This window comes from Homo sapiens, chromosome 8, assembly GCF_000001405.40.
Source record: "Homo sapiens chromosome 8, GRCh38.p14 Primary Assembly".
Lineage (NCBI taxonomy): Eukaryota > Metazoa > Chordata > Mammalia > Primates > Hominidae > Homo > Homo sapiens.
Window position 1 is genome coordinate 124,763,350 of NC_000008.11, and position 12,962 is coordinate 124,776,311.

Below are 12,962 nucleotides of genomic sequence, written 5' to 3' on the forward strand. Positions count from 1 at the left end.
AGAAGACTAACTTTCTAGCTCATTACACACACCCCTTCCCCTTCCTCTCCACTTTCTTTTACGTGCCCACCTTACCTAAAAAAATTCAAACGTTTAGCCAACTGGGATTATTTTAAATTATACAGCCTGACCCCAGCCAATGGGGAAAGAGTGCAGGGGCAAGACTTGCCGTCAAAAATAAAGGCTCTCGTGCCCTTTGTTCAGGTGGGCTCTCATGGCGACTAGCCAAGGAGGCACCCCTCTGCCCAAAAATAAAATTGCTTTGCTAAAAATCCTTTGTTCAAGTGTTCAATTTCCTTAAAATTTTTTAGCGTTATTCCTAACACATACATATTTCAAAAATCACATTCTACAACTTGAATATATACAGTTTTTGCTGTTTAGATTTCAGTAAAGCTAGGAACAAATGTTATGCTCTTTGGGATTTCTCACGTTCTTTGATTCATATGTCTATACCTGAGTCAAATTCACTTGTTCATCAGTTAAATCACAAAATACTATGTCATGGATCTTCCACATCCTCAGAAATACCACAAGTGGCAGGGGCTTCAATTCACACAGGCCAACAGTTGTCTCCTTCAAGGATCTCAGGTGCAAATGTCTTTGGGGTCAGTCAAGTTACATGAAAGAATGAAGTAGGCAGGGGGTAAGAACCGTGATGAACCAAACAGCACGCCTTCTGGACAATGATTGCCATGTGGTACTATAGGCTCCGTATTGCCAGATCTTTCAATTTGTCAAGAGAAGCCAGAAATCTAATTTTTTTTTAAATGTAAACTTTTCTGATTTTTAAGTGTTGAAAACAAATTCCAATTTTTTTTTTTTTTTTGAGGTGAAGTCTTGCTTGGTTGCCCAGGCTGGAGTACAGTGGCGCAATCTCGGCTCACTGCAACCTCCCGGGTTCAAGCAATTCTCCTGCCTCAGCCTCCCAAGTACTTGGGATTACAGGTGCCTGCCACCATGCCCAGCTAATTTTTCAATTCCAAATTTTAAAATCTGGTGTAGGCCACCATGACGTGGGCCACATTGGATCCCCAGTTGGCCGGTGTGACCTCTCATCTGTGGCACTTGGCTGATGTGAAGCCTTGGGAAGGGACAGTTGGAGGAAAACATGCAGAAGTGAGAATTGATGCTGAGGTGGCAAGCAAGAAGCAGAGTTGGGATTGACAGTTAGGAGAAGTATACTGGAAGGAAGAAAGCCAGAGGGAAGAAGGGAGTTTCCGGGATCCTTGAATTATATGGAATCATTACACAGAATTGTTCAGAGACAGTCTGAATTACGTTCCAAGTTTGCAGAAGTCTCAGAGATAGAAGGAGACCACCACCAGGAAAGAATTTAGATTCCCCCTTTTTAACTTCTTTGATTACATGGCAATATTGCTCATTTGTGCCATGTATAATATAGTGTGTATATATAGATATGTATGCACACATGGTAGTGAACATATATGTATATAAATTCAAGTTTGTAGACATTAAATAAACTTTAGAGCAATATGAAATAAATTTCATGAAAAAAATGGCTCCTACACAGCAGTTATTTTCTTTGTACACCCTACTGATAATTATTTTTTCTTTTTTAGAGATAGGGTCTCACTCTGTCACCCAGGCTGGGGTGGCACGATCATAGCTCACTGCAACCTCAAACTCCTAGGCTCAAGCCACCCTCCTGCCTTGGCCTCCCTGGAATTACAGGCATGAGCAAGGACATGGGGCCCCTATCCATAATTTTATTCTCAGCTGTAGTCTAATTGTGCATAGAATGGTAAGTGTACCTTTAGGGTTGTTGTAGAAAGGCTGGGGTCTGATTTCAGTAGGCATGGGTTTTATACTCAGCTCTGTCACTTTTAAGCTGTGCGATCTTGAGAAGTTACTTAACCTTTGTGGGCCTCACTTGGTATTTCTCATTTGTAAAATGAGAGCATCTGGAAGATTCTATCAGGAATGAACAGAGAATATCTCTTTAAGCCCAAGGCTTCATTACTCTCCGGGCTACAGTTAAGAATGGGCTGTTGCCCAAGGGAGTCATTCTGGTCCTGTTGTTTAAGGGCCCGTGGAATAGTTAATGCTCTGGATTGGATAATGGCTTCAACATGTCCTGAGAAAGGAGAACAAAACATAAAAGTATTTTTCCTTAAAAATTTGCTTTTATTTAGATGGGATTTAGAGACATGACCTGTCAAACCTTCCTCAGAAACATTCTTCAAATATTCTTCACCTCCATCCCCATAGCTCAGCCTAAGCCTTCTCTCTGATCTTCTTGCCTTTAGTCTCTCCTTTCTTGGCAGAACTTTCTTCCTAAAAAAAATTCAACATCCCATTCTCCTAATGCAAAACCAGCGGATGACCTGGTGCCTGTGGGATCAGGTCAAACTTCTTGGCCTGGCATTCATCTAGGGCGCCTCCACCTTACCCTCAGCTCCTGTCTTTCCTCAGCCTCCCAGTCCCTTTAGTGCCTGTGTTCCCATCAAAGTGAACTTCTCACCATCATGCAGGCAAACCATACCCTTTCACGACACCACGCATTTTTTTTTTTTTTTTTTTTTGAGACGGAGTCTTGCTCTGTCACCCAGGCTGGAGTGCAGTGGCGCGATCTCGGCTCACTGCAAGCTCCGCCTCCCGGGTTCATGCCATTCTCCTGCCTCAGCCTCCTGAGTAGCTGGGACTACAGGCGCCCACCACCACGCCCGATTAATTTTTTTTTTTTTGTATTTTTAGTAGAGACGGGGTTTCACCATGTTAGCCAGGATGGTCTCGATCTCCTGACCTTGTGATCTGCCCGCCTCAGCCTCCCAATGTGCTGGGATTACAGGCATGGGCACCACACTCGGAGACACCATGCATTTTTAAATCCCGCTCCCTCTGCATGGATTGTTTATTTGCTTCTTGACAAACCCCTAATTCTCTTTCTAGGTATTGGGGATTCTGCAGGATATATGTGGTGATGTTATTCCTTTCCACACACAGCTGCACTGTGCCTGACACAGGATAGTAAGAAGGTACTCAATGAATGCTATTTTGATGGGTGAATGAATGGAGGGATGAATCCTTGAATAAGTGAGTGAACCAGTGAGCAAATGAATGATGAATGGATCAGTCAATGGAGAGTTGGAAGGATGAATGAAAGAGTGAATGGACAAATGGAGAAGTGAATCGTGGAATAAATGAGACACATGAATGCAGGCAATTAATTCATGGTTTTTAGAAAGCCAGACTATGTGGCCAGAAAGGAAAACAGAAATGGCAGAAGAGAGACAAATGAAAGCCCCCTTTTGTTTCTCTGCAGCTACCAGCAGAAGGGCTAGTGCTGCTCTCTCTTCTTTCTGACTCCAACCTCGACTGTTCTTTTGCCCTGGGTTACCTTGACCTTGGCATTTCCATGGAGAAGTTGACTGCTTGCCTGGACACAGTCTGCTCTCTCTTGCCCTGTGTTTTCAGAACAGGCCACTCACTCTGCACAATTAGAGAACGTGCACCTGAGAAGCCTCGCAAGCTGTGACTCTTGGGGAGAGAGCAAAGAGGAGGATGCTGGGAAGGTGGGTTCTGTGGTCTCACACTGATGGAAAAAAAAAAAAAAAGCAGACAAGGCCGGGCGCGGTGGCTGACGCATGTAATTCCAGCACTTTGGGAGGCCGAGGTGGGCGGATCACGAGGTCAGGAGATAGAGACCATCCTGGCTAACACGGTGAAACTCCATCTGTACTAAAAATACAAAAAATTAGCCGGGCATCATGGCGGGTGCCTGTAGTCTCAGCTACTGGGGAGGCTGAGGCAAGAGAATGGTGTGAACCCGGGAGGCGGAGCTTGCAGTGAACCGAGATCACACCACTGCACTCCAGCCTGGGTGAAAGAGCGAGACTCCATCCCAAAAAAATAAAAAATAAAAATAAAGAGACAAATGGTTTTCTTTCCTGCTATTATTTTGAAAGTCTTGCAGCAGTTCCAAGGAGCCAGGGAAGCTTTGGGATACCGTCCTGCTGGGTCCCTGGAAGGGTTTTCTTCATTGATAGCCTAGTCCTCACCACAGGAGGCACCAGGGTACATGTGTCTTCACACTTCCCTGTTTCTGTTGCTTAACTTGTCCCCATTCCCCACTCCGCAATTAGGATACCTGTGAGAGCTGCCATTGATTGAGTACTTAGTATTTCCCATATATGATCTTATTCCTTCTTTATAACACTTATGCAGTAAGTATTCTTATCCTCATTAAATAAATGTGGAAATTGTGTCTCAGTGAGGTTAGGTAAGTGGCCCTAGTCCACATAGGGATCTGTATGTAGTGAAACTGGGATTCAAATACAGAGTTGTTTGACTCCAAAGTCCATATTCATAAACAGTACAGGGTGTAGCTATTAGGATTTCTCTAAGAGTGTATCCTAGGATCCCCACAGGAGACAGATGGCCCATTCTAAAGGCATTATTGTGGGGAGTTTAATAAGGGATCAGTTCAAATGTGTGGGAGATTTTCAGGTAAACTGAGGAAGGCTGGCGAAACCCTGGGGGCTAGCAACAGCAGGGAGCTGCTTCCACCCTTAGGTCTGAAGACATCAGGGTAAGCAGCGCTTTCCTGAACTGGAGAGAAGGAGCCACCTGACAAGAATTGTGCCCTTGGCAGAGGACTCCAGACAATGGCCATTCTCTCCCCGGGTGTTAACATAGAGCTTGGCACTTTGTGGGCCTTCAGAATGATGAGTTAAATTTGCTGAGTGCTAGTATCACACAAGGGTAGTTTGTTCAAGTGTTGTTTATCGTGCCAAGTTAATAGGTTTGCATTCCATGCTTCCTGCTTTTGTAAATTTTTAAAGCATGCAAGCCAGATCTAATAGTTCTAATTACTTAAAGGCCTCAGTTCTTTTTAGAATTCTATGGAGCCTCTATCTCTGAGTTTCCATACTCCTTGTTTACTTATTAATGTCAGATTTTGGACTACCTTCATACTTGCTATGTACTTTGATTCTTCCCCAACAAAACTAGAAACATCAGGGAATAGATTGTACACAAAGTGATATGATAGTTGGAGTATCAGAGGAGGTGTCAGAATACTCTTCCACTGACTACTGTTTGGCAAGTGGCCAAACCTCTTTGAACCTCAGTTTTCTCATCTGCAAAATAGGGATAACAAGTAAGAACATGCGTGTGAAGGTTCTGAAGCTAATACACGCAAAAGTGTTCATGACTTTAACAGTGGAGCAAGATAGTGGATTTTAGTGACTCTCAGACAATTCTTCCATTGAGATTTTTAGAGCTATCACAGTAAAAGGCTACAAAGAAAGTCAGAGGGCTTTGGGGGTAGAACATCAGAGAGCAAGTGTAGATTGCAATCGTCTCCTAGTGAATATCTTAATCCTGAGTATTTGGGGGTTATAAATAGATTAATCTAAAGTGAAACAAATGAAAAGTATTAATGCAAAAAGTTGGCGTAAAAAGCTTCAAAAATAGAAACTAGGCTGGAAGTTTGGAAGTAAAATTCCATCATGTTCTAGAACAAGGCGGGAAAACTTTTTCTACAAAGGGCCAGATAGTGAATATTTTAGGCTTTATGAACTGGTCTCTGCCCCGTCTTACACAAAAGTAGCCATACACAAACCATAAATGGATAGATGTAGCTGGGTGCCAATGAAGCTTAATTGCAAAAGTTGGTGGCAGTCTAGATTTTGTCTGTCAACATAATTTATCAACTCCTCTTTTAAATGAGCTCAGCTTTTCTATGCCAATACAAGCTAGAGAAATTGCCCACTGTCTCCTTTATTGTTATGTTAGATGATAAGAGAGAGGATTGATATTTACTGAGCACTTGACATCAGTCACTATACGAAGCATGTGACACAGATAATCTCATTTAATCCCATGAAGGCAGTGCTATTACCTGTATCTCCATTATACATTTTTAGTGATTGAGCCGGGATCCAAATATGGTCCTGTCTTACTCTAAAGCTCAAACTCAGTCCACTTCACATTACTTACAGGTATGTCAAGCCTTTTGGCATTATGTTTAATCCACTAATGTTTAATGTAATTATCTATACATCAAATTTGAAATTAGGCCTACTATTTTAATATTTGTTTTCTGTTTTTCTCATCTGTTTTTAATTTTTATGTTCTACCTTCCTGTGGTCTCTTGCTTTAAATTCAATGTTTCTTAATCTTTTTCATTATCACCTCCTAATGAGTCTTTTAGACATTTTTTCCTAATCACATTCCCCTGAATTTTAATACCACAAATATACTGTATATCTCTTTATATACTCTATGTATATCAGTGCTTTATATGTTAAAAATAGGTAAGATTATTTTATTTCCAAGAACCAGTTTTCAACTCCTTTGGTGGAATATTGCCCTGTTTGAGAATGCATGGCTTGAATAATTCATGGAACTTCATTTCAACTTATATATTGGCTTCTTAGCTATACTTTTTTGTATTTTTTTACTAGTTGCTCTAAAGATTAAAATAAACATCTTTAACTTTTCCCAGTGTGTTTAGAGTTAATGTTGTGCCATTTCATGTAAAATGTAAGAACTTTATAATACAGGTCCATTGTACACACCCACTTCCATTCTTTGTGCTAAGTTGTCACAGGTGTTACATCTATTTAAGCTATAAACCTCTAAGACAATGCTATAATTTTTGTTTAAACAGGTATATGGATTTTAAATAAATAAAAAATAATTTTCATATTTATCCACAAATTTACTTTTTCTGATACACTTTTTTCTTTCCTAAAGATATGTTTCCATTTTGTATAATTTCCCTTTGGCTCTAATAACCTTCTTTACTGTTTCTCTTTTTTTTTTTTTTTTCTTGGAGACAGAGTCTCAATCTGTCACCGAGGCTGGAGTGCAGTAGTGTGATCTCAGCTCACTGCAACCTCTGCCTCCCAGGTTCAAGCAATTCTTGTGCCTCAGCCTCCCAAGTAGCTGGGACTATAGGCGCAGGCCGCCATGCCCGGCTAATTTTTGTATTTTTAGTAGAGACGGGGTTTCACCAGGTTGGCAGGCTGGTCTTCAACTCCTGACCTCAGGTGATCCACCTGCCTCAGCCTCCCACAGTACTGGGATTCCAGGTGTGAGCCAGTGTGCCTGGCCGCTGCTTCTTTACAATGCTGATCTTCTGGCAACAAATTCACTCAGTTGCATTAAAGGATATTTTCATTCAATATAGGATTCTGGATTGACAGATTTTTTCCTTCAGCAGTTTCAAGATTATATTCTGCTATCTTCTCTATAATTTCTAATGAAAAGTTAGGAATTATTCAAATTATTGTTACTCAGTTATTAGTTTTCTCTGCATTCAAGATTTTTTTCTGTCTTTGATTTTTAGCAGTTTGACTATGATTTCACTAGATGAAGTTTTCTTCAGTGGTATTCACTGAGTTTCTTGAATCTGTAAGTTTACATCTTCCACCAAATTTGGGAACACTTGGTCATTATTTCATATTCAAATATTTTTTCTGCCCCACTTCCTCTCCCTCAGGGATGTCAATTACATGTATATTAGACTGTTTGGTATTTTCCCACAGGTCTTTAAAACTGTGTTCATTTTTTTCAAGCTTTTCTCTTTCTCTCCTTCAAATTGGATGATTTTAATGATCTATCTTCATATTTACTGGCTCTTTCTCCTGTGAATTCTCATTCTGCTATTAAGCCATTCAGTGACTTTAAAATTTCAGATATTGTATTTTTTTTCAGTTTTAGGATTTCCATTTGGGTTTTTTTTTGTTGTTGTTGTTGTTGTTGCTATTTTTATTTTTCTTCTGAGATTTCCTATCATTTCATTCATTACAAGTATATTTCCTTTATATCCTTGAACATAGTTATGATAGTTTCCTTAAAATTCTTGTCTGTTAAATTTGAACATATGGGCTATCTCTGCCATTTTTCTCTTTAAACAATTTTTAGACATAGTAAAGTTTTCCTGTTGATTTGTATATAAATTAATTTTGGATAGTATACTGAACATTGTGAGTGATCTGTTGTAGAAACTCTGTATTCTGTTGTGTTACTACAGGGAATATTAATTTCTTAAAGTAGGCAATTAACTTGGCTGAACTTGAAGTGCAAACTCTGTCTTCCCTGTGGTTTGCAGCAGCTTAAATATCTTTTAATGTTAGCTGTGCTGTTTGGCATCCTTGTTTTACATCAGCTATGATTACCCTGAACTCTATTCTCTGATTATTCAAGTCAAAAACACTGCAGGTTATCTCTTGGAGATTTAACTGCTGTGTATGGCACAGAGTAGGACCTATCCTCAGACAAAAAGCCATAAAATATGAAATTTATCCTGTACTGTTTCTTTCTTCCAAATGTTATATGTCTTCCAGGAATTACTTGTTTTTGTTCACTCTGCAGTGTCTCCAGGTAGTGTGTGTAGTTATATATGCTTTTACCATTCTTTCAGTGGTTACACTTGAGATTTTTATGTGCTTCCTTGACATATTATTGTTAATATAAAGTGCACTTTCATAGAGAGTACTTTTACTACTTCCCAGAAAATGCAAGGACCTACGAGAGTACTTGAACTCCATTCGCCTCTCCTGTTTTTTGTGTTCATGACACATTACATGAATATTATACATATATATCTCAGAGGGAGTATATACCACAATGTTAAGATTATTACTTCTGGATGGTGGGGGTTAGGATGATATATTTTTATCTGTACATTTTGCTTTTTCAACAATAATCATGTGCTTTGCCAAAAAAATTTTTAAAGAAGACAGAAGGGAGAAGAACACTTGCCATGCAGACCCTTTAAGCCAGAGCACTTCCTCCCTGCTCAGCTGCTCTGCACAGACAGACTCTTGTCTCCCCACTGGACAACAAGGGTGAATCAGAATGTGGGCCAGGCTGTGAGTGAGCAGGAAACCCTTCAGGCCAGTGAGGGATGCAGAGTCACAGTTCAAGCAGAATGAGGAGACATGCAGCCCAGTTGCTGCTTGCTTACCAGCTCATCTGTCCCAAGAGCCAAAGGCCACTCTATTCAGGATGATCAGCAATATCTGGTTGTGGACGTGTTTGAGCCCAGAGCAGCTGAGAACAGGATGTTGTGCAATGCCTGGGTAAATCCAGAGCCTTCCTTTCTCAGAGCCTGTGGATGCTGCCAGCAGGCCTAAGCCGATACGAAAGATAATTAGGCACAAATTCACAGTAACCTTTTATTCCTCACACTGCCTTCTCAGGCGTGGCTTTTGTCCAAATTATGGGGCAGGTCAAGCTCAATGCTTCATCCCTTCTCTGCCTGCCTCTGACTTCCTGAGTCTAGGCCTATCAAAACCCAACTGTCCTGGGGTCTCATTTCTGCAAAACTCTACTCTCTGCTAGGTGATAAGGGGGGTGATTAAGTGAAAATACTGCTCTGTATTTCTCTAATGCTTTTAAACTATTTCCATCTAGATTTTTTTTCTGAGTCCTACAACAAGAGAATACAGAAACCACCGAAGTGAAGTTTTCTACCAGTTTTCTTTTTTTTTTTTTTCATTTTTTAAAAATTATACTTTAAGTTCTAGGGTACATGTGCACAATGTGCAGGTTTGTTACATATGTATACATGTGCCATGTTGGTGTGCTGCACCCATTAACTTGTCATTTACATTAGGTATATCTCCTAATGCTATCCCTCCCCCATCTCCCCACCCCACGACAGGCCCTGGTGTGTGATATTCCCCTTTCTACCATCGAACTTATAAAAGGACCTACGTATGTGTCAATTCTCTTCTGTTTTTTTTCTTGTTTTACAGTTTTAGTACAAAAAGGAGTAATTTGGTAGGAATCTTTTTAATGTATTGCCCTTGTACTTTGAGAGCACCAAATCCTGACCACTAGACCACTAGGGATGCTCCTTGACTTTGAGTATGTTTTGTCAAGTGCTTGGCATATGGTAGGCGTTCAATAAATGAACGACGACAATAAAATTGCGGCACGGTCTCGCCATCCTAGTAGCTAGATACAGACTTTCCACAGAACTTAAGATGATGGTGTGATGGCATTCTTAGCAATTCTGGACAACTCATATTAATTAAAACATTTCACTCCATGTTTATAAAATATTTCTCTTTATAAAAACATTAAACAAGTAAATATTAAACAAATGTTATAATTAAAGAACACACTTAGGGACTTCAAAAAAATTAATTAGATTTATATTTCAGTCTCTTCTCAGTAACTTTAATTCTCATGATACTTCATCTTTGTCTTCTTTTAATCCCCATAGAAATGACCCTAGTTTTGATTTGATTGAGTGCTACCTAGGTACCTGGTGCTGTCCACTCAATGTATGATCTCATTTACTTTTCCCCGGGAACTCTATGAGGTAAGTTCTATTAATATCTCCCTTCAAAGACACAGGAACTAAGGCTTTTTTTTATAAAGTAAATGGCTTTTCCGGCATCTCACAGCCAGATAATGTAAAATCCAGTCTTGGAGCCCGAGGTCATGTTCTATCATTTGTCTCTGCTTCCTAGGTTAGTTTATTACAGAAACTCTGTACATTTCTTTCAGATATTAAATTTTAGTTAAAAGTAAATTCTTACTGATTTTCCCTACTCTTACCCAAATTCAACACATACTGATTGCATATTTACTGTGTGCAAGGCATTGTGCTAGCGATAGTGTGGAGGACATTTAAATGTGCAAAAACTGGGGAACTCCTGCCAGGATTTTCTGCTCTAGAAATGAGCTGGGGATGGTAGAAACATTATTTACCTCACTGTAATACAAGACAAGACCAACTAAGGTGAAAACAAACATTCGTTGATATTCTATTATGTGTCACGAACCTTGGATACTTTATGTGCATGATCTCAGTTGATTTTCTGGTTTTATGGAGAAGGCATCAGAGGCCCAGTTTTCTTAATCATTTGCTCAAGGTACACATGTAGGAAATGGGAGAATCCTACTGTATTACTCAGGGTTCTCTAGAGAAACAGAACCAATAGAAGAAGTAGAGATATATAGAAAGAGATTTATTATGAGGGATTGACTCACATGATTATGGAGTCTGAGAAGTCCCCTAATTAGCCACTGTAAAGATGAAGGCACAGGACAGTTGATGGTATAGTTCCAGTCCAGGCCTGAAGGCCTAAGTACTGCAGAAGCCAATAGTCTAAGTCTCAGTCTGAGTCCAAAGTTCTGAGAACCAGGAGAATTGATGTCTGAGTGCAGAAGATGGATATCCCAACTCAAGCAGAAAAGAATGTGTCCTTCCTCCACCTTTTGGCTCCATTCGGGTGCTCAATGAATTGGCTGATGCCTGCACACACTGGTGAAAGTGAATCTTCTTCACTCAGTCTCCTGATTCAAATGCTAATCTCTTCCAGAAATACCCTCACGGACACACCCCAAAATAATGTATTACCAGCTATCTGGGCATCCCTTAGCCCAGTCAAGTTGACACATAAAATTAACCACCATACCAACACACCAGGATTTGAACCTTGGCCTTTAATGCCTACCTCAGAGATAAATACAAGTTCAAAGGGATGAAACATCACTTGAGTTTTAGGGGATGAGCAAAAGCATGATTGAAGGAGGGATGGCATTTGGAATCACTGAAAGATGGAAAGACTGAATCAGGGATCAAGTAGAGAGGGCATTCCAGTGGAGGAATAGCAATGTGAACAAAGGGTAGAAGCTGCACTTGAGCTGTATGTTGGAAGAAGGGTAAAGAGTGTATCGAATGGAGGGTAGGATGTATGCAAAATATGCAGGAAATATGCTTGGGGGGTGGCAGTTTGGCTTCCACCAAGGAAGACTTTCTCTTGATAGGTGATGGGAAGATATTAAAGGTGTGGGGCAGACCAGTGATGTAACTAGGGCTGCTTCTTAGGAAAATTAACTTATGAGCTTCAGGCTGACTCATAACAGATGTCACTCCTGCTGTCCTGGACTCCAAGCTGTCTTTTTTTTTTTTTTTTTTTTTTTGAGATGGAGTCTTGCTGTCGCCCAGGCTGGAGTACAGTGGCCTGATCTCGGCTCACTACAAGCTCTGCCTCTCGGGTTCACGCCATTCTCCCTCCTCAGCCTCCCAAGTAGCTGGGACTACAGGCACCTGCCACCACACCCGGCTAATTTTTTTTTTTATTTTTAGTAGAGACGAGGTTTCGCCATGATGGCCAGGCTAATCTCGAACCCCTGACTTCAGATGATCCATCGGCCTCAGGCTCCCAAAGTGCTGGGATTACAGGAGTGAGCCACCGTGCCCAGCTAGCTGAGGGTGGTTTAGACTAGGAGGTCAGCCACTCAGCTTTGTCTCAGAACAAATCACTGAATCCCGATATCCTGTCCTGACTCTGTTGGCCTCCATCAGCCTGAATTGTATTGCCCCAGCTTATCTCATCTATTCATTCATTCCAGTGTTTATTGAACTCCACGTGCTGTCAGACATTGTGCTTGGTGCTGAAACTACAGGAATGATACGCCACAGCCTCTCCCCTCCTGAGCTCACAGAGAAGCAGGGTGACACTTGATGGCAAAGTGATGAGATCAGTGCTGGGAAAAGCCCAGCAAAGTGCTGTGGAGACTGCGGCCCCGGGAAGTCTACAGGGAAGGCTTTCATGGCAGGAAATGTAGGCCTTAGCATAAGAGTTCAGTTTTCCATAAGAAAAAAAAATGGAGTGTCCAAGATTTACACCCTTTCTTGAAGGAACTAGAAAGGGATGCAGTGGCCCAGAGAGGAGGCAGTCTTCCCTTCATGACTCTCTGCAGGCTGAGGATAGCTGCTGAGGCAGCCTTGATTCTAACAGGATGCCAGCTAAGGACGGTACCAAAGTGGAGCAGTCACTCAGGGCCACAGCTGGGCCACAGGCCGAGGGGTCCCTACTGGGAGGGGAAGGGAAGGGTCCCAGCCAGTTGCCCTTGGCAAAAGGCAGGGGTCAGTCATGTTGGCAGCACATCAGAAATTCATTAAAATAGTTGAATGGACATAAGCATTCACAGTCTCTTGGCAACAAGACCTTCCTTCTTCCAGT